The sequence below is a fragment of the Homo sapiens genome, chromosome 19, assembly GCF_000001405.40.
Source record: "Homo sapiens chromosome 19, GRCh38.p14 Primary Assembly".
In the NCBI taxonomy this organism is placed as follows: domain Eukaryota; kingdom Metazoa; phylum Chordata; class Mammalia; order Primates; family Hominidae; genus Homo; species Homo sapiens.
Window position 1 is genome coordinate 57,403,309 of NC_000019.10, and position 25,139 is coordinate 57,428,447.

At 45.0% G+C, this 25,139-nt stretch overlaps 1 protein-coding gene across 3 annotated transcripts, besides 5 other annotated features; it reads left to right on the forward strand.

Moving 5' to 3' along the window:
* Positions 511–1,010: an enhancer, noted in NCBI's record as "H3K4me1 hESC enhancer chr19:57915187-57915686 (GRCh37/hg19 assembly coordinates)". NCBI's record gives its function as "activates a minimal SCP1, AML or CMV promoter by ChIP-STARR-seq in naive and primed H9 embryonic stem cells {active_cell/tissue: H9 hESC(naive and primed)}" and the evidence as "EXISTENCE:reporter gene assay evidence [ECO:0000049][PMID:30033119]".
* Positions 3,137–3,366: an enhancer, noted in NCBI's record as "active region_15139". NCBI's record gives its function as "activates an Ori minimal core promoter by ATAC-STARR-seq in GM12878 lymphoblastoid cells {active_cell/tissue: GM12878}" and the evidence as "EXISTENCE:reporter gene assay evidence [ECO:0000049][PMID:35858748]".
* ZNF17 (zinc finger protein 17) lies at positions 7,853–18,626 on the forward strand. 3 transcript variants are annotated; one of them, NM_001330617.2, is made up of 4 exons: positions 7,853–8,098; positions 10,288–10,328; positions 14,604–14,730; positions 16,327–18,626. In NM_001330617.2, the coding sequence occupies exons 2-4, from the start codon at positions 10,308–10,310 to the stop codon at positions 18,171–18,173; spliced, it is 1,995 nt and encodes a 664-aa protein (NP_001317546.1). In that variant the 5' UTR covers positions 7,853–8,098; positions 10,288–10,307; the 3' UTR covers positions 18,174–18,626. The 3 variants fall into 3 exon arrangements, with proteins under 3 accessions (NP_001317546.1, NP_008890.2, XP_047295267.1); XM_047439311.1 differs by lacking the exon at positions 7,853–8,098 and adding an exon at positions 8,126–8,172; NM_006959.3 differs by lacking the exon at positions 10,288–10,328.
* Positions 7,857–7,966: an enhancer, noted in NCBI's record as "active region_15140". NCBI's record gives its function as "activates an Ori minimal core promoter by ATAC-STARR-seq in GM12878 lymphoblastoid cells {active_cell/tissue: GM12878}" and the evidence as "EXISTENCE:reporter gene assay evidence [ECO:0000049][PMID:35858748]".
* Positions 8,047–8,106: an enhancer, noted in NCBI's record as "active region_15141". NCBI's record gives its function as "activates an Ori minimal core promoter by ATAC-STARR-seq in GM12878 lymphoblastoid cells {active_cell/tissue: GM12878}" and the evidence as "EXISTENCE:reporter gene assay evidence [ECO:0000049][PMID:35858748]".
* Positions 8,350–8,552: a silencer, noted in NCBI's record as "fragment chr19:57923026-57923228 (GRCh37/hg19 assembly coordinates)". NCBI's record gives its function as "represses an EF-1alpha promoter that drives an FKBP-Casp9 reporter gene in an ReSE screen in HepG2 liver carcinoma cells {active_cell/tissue: HepG2}" and the evidence as "EXISTENCE:reporter gene assay evidence [ECO:0000049][PMID:32094911]".
* Positions 18,627–25,139: the final 6,513 nt, after the last annotated feature.

Genomic DNA, 25,139 nt, shown 5'->3' on the forward strand with positions numbered 1-25,139 from the left:
AACTTCCTCAATGCCTTTTAGCCAATCAAATGGTGCTTTTTCCAGGCCCACCCATGGACCAATCAGTATGCAGTCTCCATTCTGAGCCCATAAAAACCCTGGGCCCAGCTACACATTGGGCTACCCACTTTCAGGTCCCCTCTTGTTGAGAGCTTTTCTGCCACTCAATAAAGTTCCCTGCCTTGCTCACTCTCTGGTGTCCACATAACATCATTCTTCTTGGTCATGGGACAAGAACTCGGAAACTGCCAAATGGCGGGTGTGAAAGGAGCTGTAACACTGTAGCCCTCCTGCCTTCCACCAGCCCCAGGCAGCCACCCCATGTGACAGGAAGCAGCGGCAGCAGGGCCAGGCCAGCCCATGAGCCATGGGCTGGAGCAGGGTGGCAGGACCAAACAAGCTGTGACACACCCCCATTCACTGAAGTGTGTGGATGGTGGGAACAGACAAGCTGTAACACAAATGAGCTGTAATGCTTCCTTGGGGCTCAGACCTTGGGATTCCCTGAGCAAAAGCTGTAACACCCCTTGGGGCTCTGTGGTTGCTGGCGTCTCTGAGTTTTTGGGCGCTGCCATGTCCCCCTTGTCCAGATACCAGCTTCCAAGGCAGAAGCCGGTCGCAGCACGCCTGGACCAGCTGTAGGCCAAGCACAGAGCCATGGTGGGCACAGGATCCGGCTGGTAACATGAGCCAAGCACAGCCTGTCGGACTGAGTTAGTTGAGTGAGTCCAGCAGGCCAAGTGATGTCTGGGCAGAAGTGCTTCAGCCATGGAGGTTTCTGCCTGGTGAAGTGGCACTGAAAGTATCTTGTGTCATCATGACACTTGGGATGGAATTTTCCAACCTGCCAGTCACCCACACTGTGAACTCCTTCTCACCCCTAATGCACACACATACCCTGGTTGGTTTTGTGATAATAAAGGTCACATTGTTTAAGCTACCTTAACTCTTGGAAATCTAGTCACCGTATGCAGTGGGTTTTGAACAGAATTGGTCTCTGCTAGAATAAAAGCATGAATGGTTTTTTGTGGGACCTTTACTTTGTGAGCTCCAGAGGGACTAGTAGGAAGCAAAAGATCAGCTCGTATGCAGATTTGGGCCAATTTGCATTGCCATGAGAAGCCTCCTGGGAAAGTCTGAAGGACTTCTGCACAAAATTTCAAGCCCTGAGTACAAAGATTATTTGTATTCAGAAAAGTACAATTTGAGGAGAAAACAGTTGCCTTGATGTTTAAGGCATTGGGCAACAGTATGCATTGGGTATCCCTACCCATATTTCCCATATTTCCCCTGCATTGATGAGGGATAGCTGTTTCTTGTGACCTGCTGGAAGCTATGGGTCCTGAAGTAAAACACTATCTAGGTATATGTTCCTGGCTGTTGACCTTTAGGGCTAGATGGAAGCCATATTCTTTTTTTTTTTTTTTTTTCTTGAGACGTAGTCTCGCTCTGTTGCCCAGGCTGGAGTGCAGTGGGATGATCTCAGCTCACTGCAACCTCGCTTCCTGGGTTCAAACAATTATCCTGCCTCAGCCTTCCGAGTAGCTGGGACTATAGGTGCACGCCACCACACCCGGCTAATTTTTGTATTTTTATTAGAGATGGGGTTTCACCATATTATATTGGCCAGGCTAGTCTCAAACTCCTGACCTCGTGATCCGCCCACCTCAGCCTCCCAAAGTGCCAGGATTACAGGAGTGAGCCACTGCACCTGGCCAGAAGCCATATTCTATAATAAATAGTGGTTGGATTAATAGGACATGGGAGAGACTGCAGTAGAGTGGATGAGTCCCCTCTAAAGGAGCACTCACAAATGCCCTGGTAGCTATGGCTGTGTGGGGTGGGGTATTACAGGAATTCCAAAGACCTAAGGAGCTGTGTACCTCCTGTAGCCAAGGTCAATGTCAGAACAACTAAATCAATGATTTTATGAATTCCTGTAGCCTCCCTGGACTATAAATTTCAAACCATAGTTGCATCATCTACATAGTGATGGGCCTTGAGCCTTCCCTAAAGATAAAAAGCCTACATAGCCCGTGCTGCCCCATCACCTGTGTGTCGGAACATCTTCCTTGTTTCAAGCTACATGAGTGCTTTTTTATTCTGTTGAAGTGTGTCATGTCATGCCTGGTGAATTAATAAATCTGTCCTCTGCAACTGACAGGGTTCTTCCACTGTGAAACAAGAGGGTTGTATATAGGTTGCGTTTAACTAACAGAGTTAATTAAACCTTTTTACTTTAAAAATTACTCAGTCTTGGGCCAGGCGCGGTGGCTCACGCCTGTAATCCCAGCACTTTGGGAGGCCGAGGCAGGCGGATCACGATGTCAGGAGATCGAGACCATCCTGGCTAACACAGTGAAACCCCGTCTCTACTAAAAATACAAAAATTAGCTGGGCGTGGTGGCAGGCACCTGTAATCCCAGCTACTCAGGAGGCTGAGGCAGGAGAATCACTTGAGCCCAGGAGTTGGAGATTGTGGCGAGCCGAGATTGCGCCATTGCACTACAGCCTGGGCAACAAGAGTGAAACTCCATCTTTTTTTTTTTTTTTTTTTTTTTTGACACAGAGTCTTGCACTGTCACCCAGGCTGGAGTGCAGTGGTGTGATCTCAGCTCACTGCAAGCTCTGCCTCCCAGGTTCACACCATTCTCCTGCCTCAGCCTCCCGAGTAGCTGGGACTACAGGTGTCCGCCACGACGCCCAGCTAAGTTTTTGTATTTTTAGTAGAGACGGGGTTTCACCGTGTTAACCAGGATGGTCTCGATCTCCTGACCTCATGATCTGCCCGCCTCGGCCTCCCAAAGTGCTGGGATTACAGGCATGAACCACTGTGCCTGGCCACTCCATCTTAAACAAATTTAAAAAATAGTTTATCTCTCTATTTTTTAATTTACTGTTGTTTGTGGGGGTTTTGAAGATGTATCAATGATTTTGGTTGAGTAGGGCACTTTAGCTTTACTTCTGAGTGCATGCAGCAGTAAAGTTTTTTTTTTATGATTTCCTTGGCTTTAAACAGTTCAAGTGGTTTTCTCAAGTGTGTTAGGGTGCACACTGTTAGTTATTAGTGGAGGTTTTGGTAAAGTTGTGCTGGGAACAGAATGCCAGATGAGCTTGTCTTCAGGCTTCAGCAGTACTGGTGGTGAGCTATGTATGTTTATCCTTGTACTTTGCGGTGCTGAATGTTGGTACCTGTGTTGGCAGTTCTAGGCAGGCCGATTCTTGGGCCTCTGGTTGGCTTTCTTAGATGCTGGTTGTGATAGCAGTGTACCAAGCATGTGAGTGCACTCTTGAGCCCCTGGGCTGCTGGTGTGGCATCCGTGATGGTGGTGGCAGTGGTGCGAAACTCTTCTGGGTCGCACTTGCTGTGCTCATTAGCAGTGGTTGCAGCGGGCTCTGTGGGCCAGCCACTAGACCAGCAGATGGCGCTTGTAGGCAGGAGATGGCTGAAGTGGGTGCAGTAGGGTATTTAGGCCTAACCTCAGCGCCCTAGGAGTGCTCAGGTGTTTCACTTGGTGGACTAGGTTGTGCAATCTCTGGGGGATTTTAAAAGTTTATTTTGCAATTGAGAATGGGATGTTTAGAATTTTTGTCTCCTACTGATTAAAGGTAGAGTATGGGGAAAAAAACAGGCAAAACTAGGAGTTTAAAGAAAAGGAGAGAGAAGAAAAAGAAATGAAGATACAATAATACAGAAAGAACAGAGGGAAAAACTTTATTTATATTTAATACCTATGATGTGACATGCCCGGAGTTAGGAGCATTCATAAGCACCATCTCATATTATCCTCCAACTAAGCTACTCATGTCAGAAAAAATTAAAATTAACAAAGGTCAACAGGGAGTAAGAAATAGAAAATGGAAAGGAAACAATTTTGGAGTGAGACCTACAAAATGATCTCAGAATTTACCCTCTGATAAGTCTTTCTTTGATCCCAGAGTGCACAAAATGTTACATGAAAAAACAAATTAATATAATTACATCTAAATTTCAAGCTTTCTATTTCATAAAGATTATGAGTCAAAACTGAGTGAGTTCAGGGACTCAGAGAAGACATTTAAAATATCTAAATGTGCCCAGTTTTACGGTTTTAGGCATGCGAGTTTTAGATTTTTTTGCTTTTTTATTGAGACAGGGTCTCTTTCACCTAGGATGGAGTGTAGTGGCGTGATCTTCACTCACAGTAGCCTCCACCTCTCAGGTTCAAGCAATCCTCCCATTCAGCCTCCCCAGTAGCTGGGACTACAAGTGCGCACTACCATGCTTGGCTAATTTTTAACTTTTTTGGTAGAGACGGGGATCTCACTATACTGCCCAGGCTGGTCTCGAACTCCTAGACTCAAATGATCCTTCCACCTCCACCTTTCAAAGTACTGGGATTACAGGCATGAGCCACTGTGCCCAGCCAAAGTTTCAGATTCTTCTTAAAGGAATAAAGTCAGAGATCTTAGAAATGAACTAAAGCACGAGCATACAATAAACAAGAGAGAAAAATCAGATGGTTATCAAGAATATGAATGGATATTCAAACTCGGTGTCAGAGAAATGCAAATTAGATATTATTGCATGTTACTTTAAGTTCTATAAATTACTATACTATGGAAAGAAATATGGGGTGATGTAGCTGCAATCATGTATATTTCATGGAAGAGTCAAAGACTGTAGCAGTTTCATAAAGCAATCTGCACAGGTACTGTAAAAAAAATGATTTTCTAGAATATCATGTGACACAGAAAGCCTGTTTCTGGTATATCTCTCAGTCAAGTCCATAAATTCTTATGTGAGAGAAGTTTTCTCACAATACTGTTCAAGGCAGCAGGGACATGGAGACAATATGTTGTAGCATTAAGTGTAAGAGGAGGACCAAAGACATCTATGAGTGAAGTAGAAGACTGAATGTCCACACTAAAGTACAACAGGGCAGTTACTAGCATTTAAGTAGACTTTGACACAGGAGTATATATACATATTAAACACACATTTTGAGTACCAACAAAGGGAGAAAGAAGTCTATAGTACAGTACAATTAAACTACACAAAAAGTAACAGTGCTCCTCTTTCTAAAACACATGTAAATACAAAAACACACAACAGACCTTTAGAATTGTTGTCTACAAGTGGTGGGGTGATGAAGTGTGAGGAACAGGAATGAGTGGAAACACGTCGGAACATTGAACAAGACGAGGTCCTTGTGGGGACATAAGGAGAGAATGTCCACTCACTGTCCAGAGCCTCCTGGGCCATTGTCACCATACAGCCGCTCATTACATGAAAGTGGAATTTCAAAAGGTAGCGAAACACCTAATAAAATATGTTGAAAGGGCTGGGCATGGTGGCTCATGCCTGTAATCCCAGCACTTTGGGAGGCCAAGCCGGGTGGATCATGAGGTCAGGAGTTCAAGACCAGCCTGGCCAACATGGTGAAACCCTGTCTCTACTAAAAATACAAAAATTAGCCAGGTGTGGTGGTGCACACCTGTAGTCCCAGCTACTCGGGAGCTGAGGCAGGAGAATTGCTTGAACCCAGGAGGCAGAGGTTGCAGTGAGCTGAGATCGTGTGACTGCACTCCAGCCTGGGCAACAGAGCGAGACTCTCTCTCTCTCCCTCTCTCCATATATATATATATATATACATACACATACACAAAGATATGTGGCCTGTCACCAAGTGTTAGATGGATGTTTGGGCCAGGCGAGGTGGCTCATGCCTGTAATCCCAGCACTTTGGGAGGCTGAGGCGGGTGGATCACCTGAGGCCAGGAGTTCAAGACCAGCCTGGCCAACATGGTGAAACCCCGTCTCTACTAAAAGTACAAAAATCAGCCAGGCGTGGTGGCCATGCCTGTAATCCCAGCTACTCAGGAGGCTGAGGCAGGAGAATCGCCTGAACCTGGGAGGCAGAGGTTGCCGTGAGCCGAGATCGTGCCATTGCACTCCAGCCTGGGCGACAGAGAGAGACTCTATCTCAAAAAAAGAAAAAAAAAGTTTGTTTAGTTTCTGTTGGTAAATATCTAGAAATAGAATTGTAGGATGGTAGGGATGTATTGTTGGTAAATGATTAACATGTTTTTAATTTTCAGTTTTTTCAGAGACGGGGATCTCACTATATTGCCCAAACTGGTTTTGAACTTATGAACTCAAGTAATCCTCCCGTCTTAACTTCCATGTAGCTGGCACTACTGAACAGCTTTAACTCTTCCAGACCTTCAGTTGGGTGGTTTTTTCTTTTCCTTTCGTTTCCTTCTTTCTCTCTCCTTCCTTCCTTCTTTTTGTAATTTGATAAACCAAATTTCAAGACTTTGGCCAAAAAACAGTCTTCTCCTTTACTGAATATCTCAGTGCTCCATTTTATTTTTCCCTCACCAATTCTGCAGGAGAGATCACAAGACTATGTCCATATCTTTATTTGTGGGGGTATGATTTTCAGCTAACATAGCTGCTAAGTGATTTAATTTACAATTATAGTGGTAGAAAAATAGCTCTAACTTCTGAGGTTTTGTAATTTATTGTAAAAAGCGGAATACAGGACATTTAAAGTGACCTGACAAGGTCAATACAGGACTGAGGACTAATTCATTAAATACGTCTTACGTGTCTTAGAGGACCACAGACAGCTAGCAACCCTACTCCTAATGTGTCCCATGCACTTAGTATTGTACCTGGCATCGAATGAGTGTTCATCAAATATGTTAGAGTAATAAATACGACAGCACAGTTTCCCTATTCAGCTTTACTTTTCTGGTAACTCTTTTAATATATAGTCTTTACCTCTCCCTTCAAGCTGTTAATGCACAATGTTTTCAAGTTTGAAAAAGAATCAGATTTTGGACACCAAACTTGAGTGTGTCCAAGGTTCCAGGACAACCTTAGCTTTTTTCCTCCTATCACAAATATGTTTCTCTATAACTATTTTTGCCACTTTCTTTGGATATCTACATAATCGTCATTAATAGTTTCAGTAATAGCCATTTCACAAGAGTTATTCAGAGACAATTTCAACTCCCTGTGCAGACACTGTTGATACAATTTCAGGCGAAATGATAAATCACTTTCCACTAATGAGATGAGATCATGCATTCCCAAACCTTTATCTCAGGAGTAAGATGCTTTCTTTGCACAAGGGCTTTGACTGGTGGAAGGCCACACTATTCTGGCAGATAATGGTAGATAAGTCGCTTTTCCTTTTCAGTTAGGTTTCAGTCTCTTAAAATAAGTGGAAAATATCTCAGATATAAAGTAATAAGTATCATGTGAATAAAGTGTTGCTGGGTAGGCTGAAAGACAATAACTGATTATTCAGAAAGGAAAGATATTACTCCTCAAACTCCCCATCATGCCATGTCTGGGTCTTTTCAATGTGCCCAGCAGAGCACATTGAAGATCATAAAACAGTCTCCAGAGCTTCGTTCTGTGTGTATTTGGCAAGCACAAAAGAGCTGACCGCTATGCGTGGAAGACCAGTTCTTTATGGTTGGCCATGTTCCTTCGGATGTTCGTCTTTTGGGAACTTGCTGTGCTTTACAGAATCTGAAAGGACAGGTCTCTGAAACATTTCTCTGACTTGTTCTAGACTGCCTTCCGGGAAAATCTGGATGCTTGCCGTTTAAAAGCCAATGAAGCCCCTCCACGTCCTTGGAGCCCCGCAACTGCATTTCTCAAAGCCTCAGGAGGATCCTCCTGGCTTTCATCCTGAACGCGAGTTAACTTAAGTTCAGAAGCGGGGCAGGCAGTGGCCTGGGAACTACATTACCCAAAAGACACAGCGGCGGACACAAGCAGCGAGTGTAGCCAATGAAGGCCTAGCAGAGCGGCGTCTACGGGGGTTCGCAATGCGTGTGGGCGGGACTTCCTGCAACGCCTCCTGGGGTTGTCAATATGGCTGCGTTGGGATCTGTTCACCTTCAGGCTGAGTCGAGACTGAGGTGAAAAAGCGGAAAAACGCGAGAAAAGGTTTCCCCGTTGTACAGAGGCTAGAGTGAGGCTCGGTTGAATCGGTTGCAGGCGTTGGTGCCTCTGTCAGCGTCCAGGTCACTGCCGCTCCCGCCCCGCTCTTCCCTGGCTGTGCTGGCGGAGGCTGCGCCGATGAACCTGACTGAGGTGGGTGCCGCGTCCCAGGGCGCCCCGCCCGATCCCTCCTCCGAGTGCCGAAGCCCCGAGGAGGGGCCCTGCAGGTCAGGCCCCTGTGTCCCAAAGAGAGGAGCGTTCTTGTGTGGGGTACCGGTGTCCGCGGTGCTGTGAGGCGGGGGAGCTCCTGTCAGGGACCTGCACGTGCGAGGCTTAGAGGTGCTGCAGAGCGGGCGGCACTGGGGAGCCCGAGCGTCTTTGTCTCCACGGAGCTGAGGGTGAGGCGGAGTCTCGCCTGGGAGGGCAGCGGAGCTGCTGAAAGCCGTAGAAGGCTGTGCAGGAAGGGTTATGCCCAGAGGTAGACGTTTAAAGTTGGGAAAAACAGGATGTTAAACCAGGACAAGGGGACCGCTGAGGAGACCCCTTGAGTTATGGTAGGGATGGGCCAGAGGGGTTGCAGTAGAGGGGAAGTGTGATGAGATTCTGGATGGATCTCAGAGATAGAGTCGACAGGATTTCCTGCTGCATCAAATGTAGCAGTGAGGGTAGTGAAGGGTCTATTCCATGGATTTTGTTTTGGCCTGAAAATCTGAAAGAATGGAGTTGGAGAAGTCAGCTTAGGGAGCAGGTTTCAGAGAGGATTATGAGTTGCATTTTGGAGGGCTGAGTTTTGGAGGGCAGATCATGGGTGGGTCCATAAGCCTGACGCTACCTTTAGAAAGGCGCAGACCTGTCATAGGAGGGATTCTGGCTCATATCTGCAAAAACGGAGTTCTGAATGGGTTAAGGAACTGGCCTAGGCTGGAGACTGAGGTGTGAGGTGGTTTAGATTTCTGCACCTGCAGACCCAGCAGCCCCCCAGGCCCACTCTGTGGAACAATAGGAAGGTCATCCAGACTAGTGGGGACATTGGGTCCAGACGGGGGTAGGGCTTTCTCACATCTAGTCAAGGGCCTCCAGCAAGCTTCCAGCAACTGAATTTGTAGCAGGCAGGCCTGGTTGCTGATGGGACCAGTAACTGACCTGCTTGCTTATCCCCTCCCTGCAACTTATTTATTTATGAATGTGTAAAACATTTTTTTTTTTTTTGAGACAGAGTCTCGCTCCATCGCCCAGGTTGGAGTGCAGTGGCGCGATCTCGGCTCACTGCAAGCTCCGCCTCCCGAGTTCAAGCAATTCTCCTGCCTCAGCCTCCCGAGTAGCTGGGACTACAAGTGCCCGCCACCACGCCAGGCTAATTTTTTGCATTTTTAGTAGAGACGGGGTTTCACCGTGTTAGCTAGTATGGTCTCTATCTCCTGACCTCATGATCTGCACGCCTCAGCCTCCCAAAGTGCTGGGATTACAGGCATGAGCCACCGCGCCCGGCCGAATGTATAAAACATTTATTTAACCACTAATGAACCAGTATCCTTCTAAATATGTACACATAGGTCGGCAGTTAGAAATGAATGTAACCAATAGTTAAATTTATTCACTTAATAATTGTTGAATGTTGATTTTTCTTTTTTCTTTTTTTTTTTGAGACGGAGTCTCGCTCTGTCGCCAGGCTGGAGTGCAGTGGCGTGGTCTCGGCTCACTGCAACCTCTGCCTCCCGGGTTCAAGCGATTCTCCTACCTCAGCCTCCCGAGTAGCTGGGATTACAGACATGCGCCACCATGCCCATCTAATTTTTGTATTTTTGATAGAGACAGGGTTTCACCATGGTTGGCCAGGATGGTCTTGATCTCTGCACCTCGTGATCCGCCCACCTCGGCCTCCCAAAGTGCTGGGATTAGAGGCTTGAGCCACCATGCCCGGCTGAATGTTAATTTTTCTATTTGCTTGCAATGGAAAGTTTTATGTATCACATTTCCTTAACACCGTAAGAAGTGGGAAAAATACACACCCAAAATTTCAAAACCCTTCCATGTCATTTGTACCGAAAACATGTAAAAAATATTTAATCCAGTAGAAAGAAATTGCTGATACATAGTGTGTACTACTTATATTTGATGCCCATATAAGCCCTATTAGTTGGCAATCCTTTTAATCTCTATTTTACACATAAGGGCACCGAGACTTAAGGAAGTTCAGTCCTCATCAAGACACTGAACCCTGAGGACTTACTGTGTACCCTCAGATAACTTTGCTCTAGTTGCAGGGCCAGAGGTGGTTGTACAGTCAGCCTGTAGGATGCTGCAATGCTGTCTTAATCCTCATGGCCTGCCTCTTCCCACAGGGTTCATAGCAGTGGCAGCAATGCTTATGGATGCTGGACAGGTGAGTGGAGAGTGTTTCCAGCTTTCACCCATCCCAGATGGTTTCAGCATGCTGATATAGGGAATGGTGTTATCCTGAGACTGTTCACCTTTTCTTCTCTCTCCCTTGGGTCCAAGGAGAGCCTGTAGTTCCACCAGACCTGGGTTCCAAACTCAGTGCCTGGTTATATAGAGTGGTTCTAGTTCTCACAACTGATGGTTTGAGATTTGGCAAGGCATCTCAAACACAGGATCTAGAATGTTCAAATGCTTGGTGGTGAGACTTAGATGGGATGCTTAGAGAACTGTAGCTTAATGTTCTAGCTGGCAAGGATAAGGAGCACAGCAGCAGGGCAGGAGGTCGGGGCATGCAGGGATCAGGCATGGAATGGCAGCCTGAGGTTGTCTAGGTTTTTGTTTTTGTTTTGTTTTGTTTTTGAGACAGAATCTTGCTCTGTCTCCAGGCTGGAGTGCAGTGGCGCGATCTCAGCTCACTACAACCTCCGCCTTCCTGGTTCAAGCGATTCTCCTGCCCCGGCCTCCCGAGTAGCTGGGATTATAGGCACCCGCCACCATGCCCGGCTAATTTTTGTATTTTTTAGTAGAGATGGGGTTTCACCATGTTGGCCAGGATGTTCTCAATCTCTTGACCTCGTGATCTGCCTGCCTCGGCCCTCCCAAGGTGCTGGGATTACAGGCTTGAGCCACCACACCTGGCCTTGTTTTTTTTTTTTTTTCCAGACAGAGGCTAACTCTGTCGCCCAGGCGGGAGTGCATTGATGTGATCTCGGATCATTGCGACCTCTGTCTCCCAGGTTCAAGCAATTCTCCTGCCTCAGCCTTCCAAGTAGCTGGGATTACAGGCATGAACCAACACACCCAGCTAATTTTTGTATTTTTAGTAGAGACAGGATTTCACCATGTTGGCCAGGCTGGTCTCGAACTCCTGGCCTCAAGTGATCTGCCTGCCTCAGCCTCCCAAAGTGCTGGGATTACAGGTATGAGCCACCGTGCCCAGTGGTTCTAGGTCTTTAATCTGAGGGGGGTAGTAGCTAGGGAAGGTTTGAGAAAGAAAAAAGAGGTGATTTGACCTAGATTCTTTTTTTTTTTTTTTGAGACGGAGTCTCCCTCTGTCGCCCAGGCCAGAGTGCAGTGGCGTGAACTCGGCTCACTGCAAGCTTCGCTTCCTGGGTTCACGCCATTCTCCTGCCTCAGCCTCCCAAGTAGCTGGGATTACAGGCACCTGCCATCATGCCCGGCTAACTTTTTTTTGTATTTTTTAGTAGAGCCAGGGTTTCACCGTGTTAGGATGGTCTCGATCTCCTGACCTCATGATCTGCCCGCCTCAGCCTCCCAAAGTGCTGGAATTACAGGCCTGAGCCACTGCACCCAGCCAGATTTGACCTAGATTCTAAGAGGCTTCCTCTGCCTGCAGAATGGAGGACAGAGTGAGAGTTAGGGAAGAACCAAGGATACCTGGGTGATAATTCCTGCCACAGTCCAGTGGAGGTTGGTGGTGGCTGGACACGAGTGGCGGCTGTGGAGGTGGGAGGGGTGGGTGGCTTCTGTAGGTTTTGATCTAGAGCTGCTCACATTTTTTGATGTACAGAGCGAGGAAGCTCGGGAGGTAGGATGCAAGAGGGAGTCAGGAATGGCCCCATTGTTTTGGCCTTGTTGAGAAGGTTGGATGTTCCAGCAACTAAGATGTGGTAAATTTTGTAGTAGGGGGAGTTTAATAGAGCATATGAAGAACGAGGTTTGGGCTAAGTCAAAAATGTTCCAGAGACTCGAGTAGAGGTGCCAGACTGGCAGTTGAACACACAGGAATGGAGTTCAATGGAGGTGTTCAGGATGGAGACATCTACTATATGATAGCCAGCGTGTACACCATGGTAAATCTGTGGGTCAGATTTAGGAATAGACATCTTTAGATTCTGGAGGCAATGCTGTTAGGGAGAAGGAAGGGGAAGGAAGGGGCTGAGGACTGGATCTTTCTGTTGGGCACCTGGATGGGGTTGCTGGGCATCACAAAGACAGATGAGGGAGTGGATGGACTGAGGATATGTGTGTGTGTATTTGTGTGTTTATGTTGGAGATGGCCTTTGGAAAATAAAGGCTTTTGAGGGGGAGAGTGCACATAAAAGTTGGATGGTGAGGCATCTCCACAAAAGAGGTGAGATGATAGTGAGGTCTGGGAGGGGCTTAGTACCCTATTATGGACTCAACAGGGTTTTGTGGCAAATATTGGTTGTACCTGGGTAGTTTCACGCGAACTCTGAGACTATTTTGGCAGAAGATGGGATCATCTAGAAGCATTGCTAGTCCTGGGGTGGGGATGGTGTTGGGGAGGTCAGTGTATCTGGGCTTTGGATTAGAGTTGGGGGATAGAGAAAGTCGTGACTGCTTATGGGACAACATATACATGTAGAAGGGGGAGACAGCCAAGATCTGGAACTCAAAGGAGGTGTGCAAGAATATGTGGGTTTGGAAAGCTGAGGTCAAAGAAAGAAACAGGATTGGGTTGGGAGACGTTCAAAGCAATGTTTCCTAAACATTGCATTCTGGTCATTCTAGGGGCAAATACGATTCTGGTTGCATTTGTCATGCACTGCAGGATTTCATGTGCAGAGTGGCATGGTAACACGCCATGGAAATACTCCCAGTTGGGCTGTGGTGGTTGTTAGTGTTGCCAAGAGTGGAGGTGTTGGATACATGAGGGAGGTGCCATCCAAAGCCTGAGTGGAGGAGCATGAATAGATGGTTCCACCTCTGGCACTGGGCACTTAAGGGAGGAGGGTGAGTCCAAGTTTGGTTATCTGAGAGGCAAGATCTGGGTGACTCTAGGGAAATTGAGTGACAAAAGAAAGGTAGGCCCCCATGTGCCAGGTGTTTTTTTTGTTTTGTTTTGTTTTTTGAGATGGAGTCTAGCTCTGTTGCCCAGGATGGAGTGCAGTGGCGCGATCTCGGCTCACTGCAACCTCTGCCTCCCAGGTTCAAGCAGTACTCTGCCTCAGCCTCCCGAGTAGCTGGGATTACAGGTGCCTGCCACCATGCCCGGCTAATTTTTGTATTTTTAGTAGAGATGGGGTTTTACTATCTTGGCCAGGCAGGTCTTGAACTCCTAACCTTGTGATCTACCTGCCTCAGCCTCCCAAAGTGCTGGGATTAGAGGCATGAGCCACCATGCCCGGCCATGTGCCAGGTTTTGATGGCGCTTTTCAGTCTCTTTCCCCCACCCATCTTTGTTCTATACTGGAGTCAGTGATCAGTGGCAATGAGGGGAGAGCAGGTACAGGTGCCATGAAGACCTAGTGTCTCTTCCTCCTTCAGAAGTGGGTGGAGGCTAGCAGGGTGTGGATGTGTGTGGGTGTGGTGAGGAGCACTGAAGGTCCTGGAGAGGGAAGTGTATCAGTGATTGTACCCACAGGATTTCAATCTGTGAACAAGAGTGAGTGATTACAGAAAAGCCAATGACATTGAAATAATTTTTTTTTTCAATTGGTGAGAAATCATACCTGGATGAAATGATTTTTATTCCTTTCATTTCCTGAGTGCAGGGAGCATGCCACATCACATAAAGCCACAGAGGAAATAGCGGATTTGGTCAGGTGGCAGATGCACAGTTGAAGGGAGAGCATATATCAGTGGCTTTATTGGGGTTTTGGCTGGAAAGGCATGCAGGGGAGAGTGAAGAGCTTAAGACTGGGTAGTTTGCATGATTTTGGCAGCCTTGGGGTATAGGGACTATCCCTCCTTTTGTGGTACAAGCCTTGTGTTGATTTAGGGCAGGAGAAAGAATCATGTGTGATTGTTAGATAGGAGGCAGTTCAGTCTATGGGATCTGGATTATAAGAGAAATGTTAAAATGCTGGTTGTTATTTTGGTCCTCTAATTCTTAGATTTCAAGTAGATAAATACAGATCTAAGGAAACAGAATAAGAAGTTGCTCATGGGCCGGGCGTGGTGGCTCATGCCTGTAATCCCAGCAATTTGGGAGGCCAAGGCAGGCAGTTCACGAGGTCAGGAGTTCTAGACCAGCCTGAACAACATGGTGAAACCCCATCTCTACTAAAAATACAAAAATTAGCCAGTCATGGTGGCACGCGCCTGTAATCCCAGCTACTCAGGAGGCTGAGGCAGGAGAATCACTTGAATCCGGGAGGCGGAGCTTGCAGTGAGCCGAGATCACACCACTGCACTCCAGCCTGGCAACAGAGCGAGACTCCATCTCAAAAAAAAAAAAAAAAAGAAAGAAAAAAAAAGTTGCTCACAGACTAAACTGTTATAATTTTGGCAGGATTATATGGTTTTTGAGGACGTGGCCATACATTTCTCCCAGGAGGAGTGGGGAATTCTTAATGACGTTCAGAGACACCTGCACAGCGATGTGATGCTGGAGAACTTTGCACTTTTGTCCTCAGTAGGTAAGGCCCTGACACCTACGTCAGTGTCTTGTGCTGGGCAATGTTTTTTCACTTTTTTCCTTGGCATCTCCGTCTCACACCAGGTCATGGATGCTGCATCCTCTCCTGGTTTCCTGGCATATGTGTTGTGGCAGCTACAGCTGGGCTGTGTGATCTGTATCAATTTTCCTTAAGAAGCTTAGCTCTTGTCACTCTGAAGCCTTATAAGGCTCAAAAGTCAGAAGTCCTCAGGTTTCTCAAGAATATCCTAATGACCTTGCCTGTCCCTGGTTAGTTTACTCTGTCCAAATGCATGACACTTTCTCTGTGCAAGGCTTTCTCCATTCTTCTTGCTGACATAGGGATACCCTGTGTCAGGAATTTCAGGGACCTACCTCGTCACTGCTTGTGAGGACTGTGGGCTTATTTCTGCAGGACTCTCCACTAGAAGTTCTGGTAACTTTAGAATACAGCATGTCCTGGGTTTATTGCTCTGTGTACATGCTGTTGACACCCTCCCTTTCCCTGTCTTTCCCCTAGCTTGGCTAACGCCACACCTAGATAGTTGCTCACCTTGAGCAAGGTAGAGGTCCCTGGGTGCCTGACAGAGTGGACATTACTCCATTGAAGGCAAGAGATGCTCAAAAGGACTTGGCCCTGGTGGATGGGAGCTCAGAAGGGGTGTGATGACAGGGCTGGGTTCACATCACACTGGGAATCAATCCAGTTTGATGCCCCTGCCAGTGGCCACACCGCATGTCTCTCTTTTCTTCCCTATTGTGATCTCTCTTTTGACTTTCATCTCCTGGCTCCCACCTCTGACCCTACGTCTCTGGCCTCCACCTCTCACCTGTTCCCGTTTTTTGTTTTTTTTTTGTTTTTGTTTTTGTTTTTGAGATGGAGTTTCGCTCTTGCAATGGTGCGCGCGATCTTGACTCACTGCAACCTCTGCTTCCCGGGTTCAAGCGATTCTTCTGCCTCAGCATCCCAAATAGCTGGGATTACAGGCATGCGCCACCACACCTGGCTAATTTTGTATTTTTAGTAGAGACGGTGTTTCTCCATGTTGGTCAGGCTGGTCTCGAACTCCTGACCTCAGCTGATCCGCCTGCCTTGGCCTCCCAAAGTTCTGGGATTATAGGTGTGAGCCACTGCACCCAGCCACCTGTTCCTTTTACTGTTCCCTTTGTAGTGCCCTCAACATATGACCTGTACTTAAGGTGTTGTGAGGTCTGGATGTATATATTTCAGCAGTCCCTGAACACCAGCTCTACTGTCACATCAGATCTCTCTGGGTCTGGACACAGTCTTCTACACATTGTTCACCAGAAGCTATGGCCTGTTGAAAGCCATTCACTGAGGAGTAACTTGGGGACTCCACTTCTGTGCTCTGCACTGTACCACTCCCTATGTTGTTCCCCATCATCAGGACTCTTTCGTTATGGGTTTCTGTCAGTCCCGGTTCTGCCCAGTAGGCTTTCCTCTCACTGGCTTTAATGTCCCATGCCTGTCACCAATCCCATGGTCTTATTTGTGAGTTGGTCTGACAGACATTTGTTATGGGGCTGCCTCTTCCCTCCAAAGTCATCATGCACTTCATGAGCATTTCTGTTTTAGGTTGTTGGCATGGAGCCAAGGATGAGGAGGCACCTTCCAAGCAATGTGTTTCTGTAGGAGTGTCACAGGTCACAACTTTAAAGCCAGCTTTGTCCACCCAGAAGGCCCAGCCCTGTGAGACATGTAGCTCACTTCTGAAGGACATTCTACACCTGGCTGAGCATGACGGAACACACCCCAAGCGTACAGCCAAGCTTTACCTGCACCAAAAGGAGCATCTTAGAGAGAAGCTCACCAGAAGTGATGAAGGGAGGCCTTCGTTTGTGAATGACAGTGTTCACCTGGCAAAGAGGAACCTCACATGCATGCAGGGTGGCAAGGATTTTACTGGTGATTCAGATCTTCAACAACAGGCTCTTCACAGTGGGTGGAAGCCACACAGGGACACTCATGGTGTGGAGGCCTTTCAAAGTGGACAGAATAATTACAGCTGCACCCAATGTGGGAAAGACTTTTGCCACCAACATACACTGTTTGAGCACCAGAAAATCCACACAGAGGAAAGGCCTTATGAGTGCAGTGAATGTGGCAAATTGTTTAGGTACAACTCCGACCTTATTAAACATCAGCGAAATCATACTGGAGAAAGGCCTTATAAGTGTAGTGAATGTGGAAAAGCCTTCAGCCTCAAATACAATGTTGTTCAACACCAGAAAATTCACACTGGAGAAAGGCCTTATGAGTGCAGTGAATGTGGGAAAGCTTTTCTTAGAAAGTCTCACCTACTTCAGCACCAGAGGATTCACACCAGGCCAAGGCCTTATGTGTGTAGTGAATGTGGGAAGGCCTTCCTTACACAGGCTCACCTTGTTGGTCACCAGAAAATTCATACTGGAGAACGGCCTTATGGATGCAATGAATGTGGGAAATACTTTATGTACAGTTCAGCACTCATTAGACATCAGAAAGTTCACACTGGAGAAAGGCCTTTTTATTGCTGTGAATGTGGGAAATTCTTTATGGACAGCTGCACACTCATTATTCACCAGAGAGTTCATACTGGAGAAAAACCTTATGAATGCAACGAATGTGGGAAATTCTTTAGATACCGTTCCACACTCATTAGACATCAGAAAGTTCACACTGGAGAAAAGCCTTATGAGTGTAGTGAATGTGGGAAGTTCTTTATGGACACTTCCACACTCATTATTCATCAGAGAGTTCATACTGGAGAAAAGCCTTATGAATGCAACAAATGTGGGAAATTCTTTAGGTATTGCTTCACACTGAATAGACATCAGAGAGTTCACTCTGGAGAGAGGCCTTATGAATGCAGTGAATGTGGCAAATTCTTTGTGGACAGCTGTACACTGAAGAGTCATCAGAGAGTTCACACTGGAGAAAGACCTTTTGAATGCAGCATTTGTGGGAAATCCTTTAGATGTCGCTCCACACTTGATACACATCAGAGAATTCACACTGGTGAAAGGCCTTATGAGTGTAGTGAATGTGGGAAATTCTTTAGGCACAACTCAAATCATATTAGACATCGGAGAAATCACTTTGGAGAAAGGTCTTTTGAGTGCACTGAGTGTGGGAGAGTTTTTAGCCAAAATTCCCACCTCATTCGGCACCAAAAAGTTCACACTAGGGAAAGAACTTACAAATGCAGCAAATGTGGGAAATTTTTTATGGACAGCTCCACACTCATTAGTCATGAGAGAGTTCATACTGGAGAAAAGCCTTATGAGTGCAGTGAATGTGGGAAAGTCTTTAGATACAACTCCAGCCTCATTAAACATCGGAGAATTCACACTGGAGAGAGACCTTATCAGTGCAGTGAATGTGGAAGAGTCTTTAACCAAAATTCTCATCTCATTCAGCACCAGAAAGTTCACACCAGATAAAGAATGTATATATAAAGCAGATGGGGAAAGACTTCACACAGAAATCTACTCTGATTTAGCACTGGGACCTACGTTTTAAAAAAAGTATTCTTGTAGAATACAGATAACATAAAATCTAACATCTTAACCATGTTAAAGTGTATAGTTCAGTACTGTTAAGTCATTCACATTGTGCAATGAATATCTAGAAGTCTTTTCAACTTATGAAACTAAGTCTATACCTTTTAAAACCTTATTCCTCACTCCATCCAGCCTCTTGACAAGCACCGCTCTGTATGAATTTTACTAGTCCGGGTACCTCATATAAGAAAACTTAAGTTTTGGTCTTCTTGTGGTTTATTTTGTGGCTTATTTTGCTTAACGTTATATTTTTAAGGTTTCATGTTCTAATCCATTAGAATTTCCATCCTTTTTAAAGGCTGAATAAAATTCTGTTAGTCATGTGTTGCTTAACAGTGGGGAAGTGTCCTGAGAAAAGTGTTATTAGGTGATTTTCTTTCTTTTTTTGGTGGTGGGGGGGTTGCGTGAATGCCTAGGCTGTATGGTATATCCTATAGCACCTTGCTACAAACTTGTATAGCATATTACTGTACTGAATACTGTAGGCTGTTGGAACACATGGTAAGTAATTGTTTTTAAGTATATCTAAACAGAAAAGGTACAGTAAAAATACAGTATAAAAGAAAAAATGATAGACTCACAGAGAACTTACCATGAATGAAGCTTACAGTACTGCAAGTTGCTCTAGGTGAGTCAGTGAGTGGTAAGTGAATGTGAAGGCCTAGGTTGTTACTGTGCTGTAGACTTTATAGACATTGTGTACTTAGACGACAATACATTTTTATTTTTATTATTATTTTTGAGACAGAATCTTGCTCTGTTGCCCAGACTAGAGTGCAGTGGTGCAATCTTGGCTTCCTGCAACCTCCTCCACCTCCTGGTTCAAGCAGTTCTGCCTCAGCTTCCCAAGTGTCTGGGATTACAGGCATGCACCACCATGCCCCGCTAATTTTTGTATTTTTAGTAGAGAACGGGGTCTTACCATGTTGGCCAGGCTGGTCTCAAACTCCCGACCTCAAGTGAGCCACTCGCTTTGGCCTCCCAAAGTGCTGGGATTACAGGCATGAGCCACCGTGCCCGGCTGGACAAAATTAAATTTATAGAAATTTTTCTTTAATATATTAACCTTAGCTGACCATTTTTTACTTTATAAGCTTGTATTTTTAAAAACTTTTTGACTTTTGTAATAATGTTTTGCTTAAAACATTGTACAACTGTACAAAAATATTTTTTATATCCTAACTTCTTAAATTTTTTTTGTTAAAAACTAAGATACACACATTTGTCTAGGCCGGCACAGGATCAGGATAATGTCATTTTATTCCACCTTCACAACCTGTTCCAGAAGATCTTCTGGGACAGTAACACACATGGAGCTGTCATCTAAAATAACAATGCCTTTTTCTGGAATACCTCCTGAAGGACCTGCCCGAGGCTGTGTTACAGTTTGTGTGTATGTACACCTGTATATTTATAGACATACACACAACTCCATATATACTCTACTGTTGGAGAACACCTAATGATAAAAAGTGTAGTATGCTAAGAACATAAGCTAGTAACTCGTAAGTTTTATCTACTGTACATTATTGTATATGTTATACTTCTATATGACTGGCCTCACAGTAGGTTTGTTTATACCAGCATCACCATGAATATGTGATTAATATATTGCCTTACTACTGCTATCATGTCATTAGGCAATAAGCATTTTTCAGCTTCATTGTAATTTTATGGAACCACTGTCATGAATGTGGCCCATTGTTGACTGAAAAGTGAGGTGCATGATTATATATGTATGTGCCACTTTTCCTTTCATTAGTGGACATTTGGGTTGTTTCCACTCAGCTGTTGTTAATAGCAGATGAGCATGAATGTACAAATGTTTCTTTGAGGCTGTGCTTTAAATTCCTTTTGAGGATTTACTCAGAAGTAGAATTGGTGCTTTCTATGTTTTTTTTTTGTTTGTTTGTTTGTTTGTTTGTTTTTTGAGACGGGAGTCTCGCTCTGTCGCCAGGCTGGAGTACAGTGGCCTGATCTCAGCTCACTGCAGCCTCTGCCTCCGGGGTTCAAGCAGTTCTCCTGCCTCAGCCTCCCAAGTAGCTGGGACTACAGGCATGCACCACCATGCCCAGATAATTTTTGTATGTTTAGTTGAGACGGGGTTTCACCGTGTTGGCAAGGATGGTCTCAATCTCGACCTCATGATCCACTCACCTGTCCCCCTATGTTCATTTAAAAAATATTTTTAATTTTTTAAATTTCTGACTCACAATGTTCCCATTCTATGTTAATTCTGTTTTAAAATTTTTGAGGACTCTTCTATAGCAGCTGCATCATTTTTTAATTTAACTTTATTATTAATTTTTTTTTTTAGTAGTTTTACTGGGTTGAGTTTTTTTTTTTTCTTTAGGGTTATTTGGTTTTGAGATGTAGGAGTTTTTTAGTATATGTGGGGACTTCAGAAAGTTTGTGGAAACATGAAAGTAAAGGATACAAAAAGAAAACAAGTTTTATTTCTCAACATAAGCTCCATCAAGTTCAAGACAATTTTATAAGTGATGATACCAGGCATTTAGTCCATCCCTAAAGAAGTGAGGTTCCTGGGAATTTAACCTTGTCTATGCAATCTTTTTTAATATTAACTAAAGAAAAATGGGTGCCCTTTAAAGATTTTTTAAAAGTAGGAAACAAGAAGTCAGAAGGAGCCAAATCCGGACTGTAAGGTGGATGCCTTAGGGTTATCAGAATTCTTGTAAAGTTGCAGTTATTTGATGAGAGGAATGAGCAGGAGCATTGAAGTGAAGGACTCCTGGTGAAGCTTTCCCATGGGTTTTCTGCTAAAGCTTTAGCTAACTTTCTCAAAACACTCTCATTGCGGGCGCCGTGGCTCACGTCTGTAATCCCAGCAATTTGGGAGGCCGAGTTGGGCGGATCATCTGAGCTCAGGAGTTTGAGACCAGCCTGACCAACATGGAGAAACCCCCCTCTCTACTAAAAAATACAAAAATTAGCCTGGCGAGGTGGTGCATGCCTGTAATCCCAGCTACTCAGGAGGCTGAGGCAGGAGAATCGCTTGAACCCGGGAGGCGGAGGTGGCAGTGAGCCGAGATCACACCATTGCACTCCAGCCTGGGCAACAAGAGTGAAACTCCATCTCAAATAGTAATTAATAATAAAGCCATGTTTCATCTGTACAATTCTTCAAAGAAATGCTTCAGCATCTTGATCCTACTTGTTTAACATTTACATTGAAGGTTCTGCTCTTGTCTGCAGCTGATCTGGATTCAGTGGCTTTGGCACCCATTGAGTGGAAAGTTCGCACAACTTTAATTTTTCAGTCAGAATTGTGTAAGCTGAACCAATTCAGATGTCTGTGGTGTCAGTTACTGTTTCTGCTGTTAATCATCAGTCTTCTTCAATAAGGTCATGAGCAAGATGAATTTCTTCCTCGCAAATTGTTATTAATGGTTTGCCATTGTGGGCTGCGTGGTCAACATCATCTCATCTCTTCTTAAAACGTTATCAGGCCGGGCGCGGTGGCTCACGCCTGTAATCCCAGCACTTTGGGAGGCCGAGGCTGGTGGATCATGAGGTCAGGAGATCGAGACTATCCTGGCTAACACAGTGAAACCCCGTCTCTACTAAAAATACAAAAAATTAGCCGGGCGTGGTGGCGGGCGCCTGTACTCCCAGCTACTCCGGAGGCTGAGGCAGGAGAATGGCGTGAACCCGGGAGGCGGAGGTTGCAGTGAGTGGAGATCGTGCCACTGCACTCCAGCATGGGCGACAGAGTGAGACTCCGTCTAAAAAAAAAGAAAACAGGTTATCAGTTTGTAAACTCTGATTTCTCTGGGTCATTGTGCCCATAAACTTTTCTTTTTCTTTTTTTTGAGACGGAGTCTCACTCTGTCGTCTGGGCTGGAGTGCAGTGGCGCGATCTCAGCTCACTGCAACCTCCGTTTCCTGGGTTCAAGCGATTCTTCTGCTTCAGCCTCCTGTGTAGCTGGGATTACAGGCATGCGCCACCACGCCCGGCTAATTTTTGTATTTTTAGTAGTGATGGGGTTTCACCATATTGGTCAGAATGGTCTTGAACTCCTGACCTTGTGATCCGCCCAAACTCGGCCTCCCAAAGTGCTGGGATTACAGGCGCGAGCCACCGCACCCGGCCGGTTTTACCATTTTTAGAGCCAAGCTTTACTATATATTTGATATTTGTTCTTTCTTCAACCTTAGCTGAATTCACATTCCTCTGATAGAAGGTGTTTTCAAACTGATGCCGTTCTTAGTGCCTCAAACTAGATCCTGTTCATACTTGTTAGAACAAGTTATTACAAATTCACTTTGGTGTAAAAAATTGAAATCCATACATAATTTTTTTTTTTTTTTTTGACAGAGTCTCACTAACGCTAGGTTGGAGTGCAGTGGCATGATCTCGGCTCATTGCAACCTCCGCCTCCTGGGTTCAAGCAATTCTCCTGCCTCAGCCTCTTGAGTAGCTGGGATTACAGGTGCCCACAATCACGCCCAGCTAATTTTTGTATTTTTAGTAGAGATGGGTTTTCACTCTGTTGGCCAGGCTGCTCTCGAACTCCTGACCTCAGGTGATCCACCTGCCTGGGCCTCACAAAGTGCTGTGATTACAGGCTTAAGCCACCACCCCTGGCCAATTTTTTCATAATATACATTTTTTTCTCATTTTTCATGAAACTTTTGAAGACCCCTCATATTCTAGATATTCCTTCTCAGATATGTGGTTTTCAAATACTTTCTCCCATTGAGTCTTTTTCCTTTTCACTCTGTCCATTATGTCCTTTTTTACACAGGAATTTTGAATTTAAATGGAGTCTAATATATCTGTTTTATAAGTCTTTGATGCATTTGAGTTCATTTTAGCAACTTAATTCTTTTGCGTGTGGATATCCAGTTTTTTTTTTTTAACATCAAAAGAATAATGTTTTTGCCTAGCATTAAGGCCCTTGGTAGAGGCTTGTCAGTTACAATTTTGGAGCAGCAGATTAAGTCCACACTCCCAACCATTTTCCTTATCAGGCTCTCAAACTCTGGGCCACAATATGTAAGACCCAATCACCCCAGGATCAGGAATCAGATATCTAGGGACAGCTTCTGTGCCCAGGAGCTTGTAAAATTATTCCATTGGTCAATGCACAGGGGTCCCTGAAAACCTAGCTAACCCCAATTTACATGGCACACACAAGCTGCCCCCTAAGCTCCAGCTTGCTGTTATCTTGGGTTCCCTCATAACTCTTGCAGCCCTGCCTATGTCCTTAGGTTTCAAGCTGTAAGTAGCAAAGTGGTCTACATTTTATGATTATCATTGTGACATGTCCTGACATCAGAAAAACACCTTTGTATGTTATTACTATACAACCAGCAGAATATTATGAGTGCAGCAAATGTTAGAAAGTATTCAGCCTAACTTCACTGAGCAAGAGTAAGTTCATCCTGGAGAAAGTCCTTAGGAATGCAGGCAATATACTTTTTTTCCTTTGTCAACAGGTCAAAAACAGCAAAGCTCTATCGAGCTTGTCTTACTCACCCTATTTTTTTGTTGCTCTGTTTTGTTTTAGGCTTTTAGCCTGAAGCCATGGTTTTGTTTCTGTCTCTAGTGGTAGGTGGACAAGAGGAATGAGATGAGAAAGGAGCTTTACTGGCCCAGCTAGAAACAAACTAAGAACCCATGACTGTATTCTTTCCCTTGGATGACCCTGTGTTAGCTTGTTGAGGGAGATCTCAGCCTGAAATTGAATCTCACATCCAAACATCCACGCAAGGGAGATTTGTTGTAATTGTCAGATATATGGTAAATTTTTGTGAATGATGTTGCACTTTCTGACCCTGCCTGGGGCCTTTCCAGAGTTAAGTTGCTGAAAGTGTGCATTACAGAAGACTCCTGCTATTAGCTGTCATGGTGCCACAATGTGCATCACCTTAGTCACCTTAAATTACTTAGAGAGTGATAAGGTCTGGACTTCTGGTTAAATGTTTTTAAAAAATGGGGGGTGGGGGGGTGGTGCATAGATTGCTGTGTTCTCTACCTTTATCTGGAATATTCAGTCATTTGTTCCCTTTGGGGGCCTCATTCCCAGTCCCCTGACTGGTTTGGGTGTGGACATCACCCAGCTTTGGACAGAGAACACACGCCAACTTCAGCTGGCAGCTTGTAGAGATTTCCTTTTTTCAGAGGTATTATTAGTTGTCTGATACTGATAATGTTGATGATAAATTTTCTACCTTCCAAGCTTCCCAACCCAGTCAATTTCCACCTAAGCATTGCTGTTTTCTTCTGATGATAAAGGTCATATTGTTTAAGCTACATTTACTCTTGGGGTTCTCTTCACTGTGTGCTGCGGGTTGAGAACAAAATTAGGCTTTGCCAGAATGAAAAAGTGAATGGTTTTTGGGGCCTTCAACTTTTTGTGCTCTTGAAGAAATAAGAAGACAAAATAGCTTTCAATCCACATCAGGCCCAATTTGCATTGCTTCGGGAGTTCCTGGGAAAGTGACGGACTTCTATCCAAAATCGCGCCGTGAATTTGATTATTGGTAGTTCTACAGTCAGCTTGAGGGTTGTTGGTTTGACAGTTGTCAGAGCATGTTGCAGCTGTATGAGGTGGGTATCTGTACATATGGATGTCCCATATTCTCCAGCATTGCATAGGAATAGCTGGTGTCTAGATCCTGCCTCAGGAGCTATGTGTCCTGAATTTAAAAATCAGGTATGTTATATCCCTGGGGCATGTCAGACATACAACAACAGTGCATTAGTCCATTTTCCATTGCTTACAACAAAATACCTTAAACTGGGTAATTTGTAAAGAAAATAAATTTCTTACTGTTGTTTTGTTGTGCTTTCTTTTTTTTTTTTTTTTTTTTGTTTAC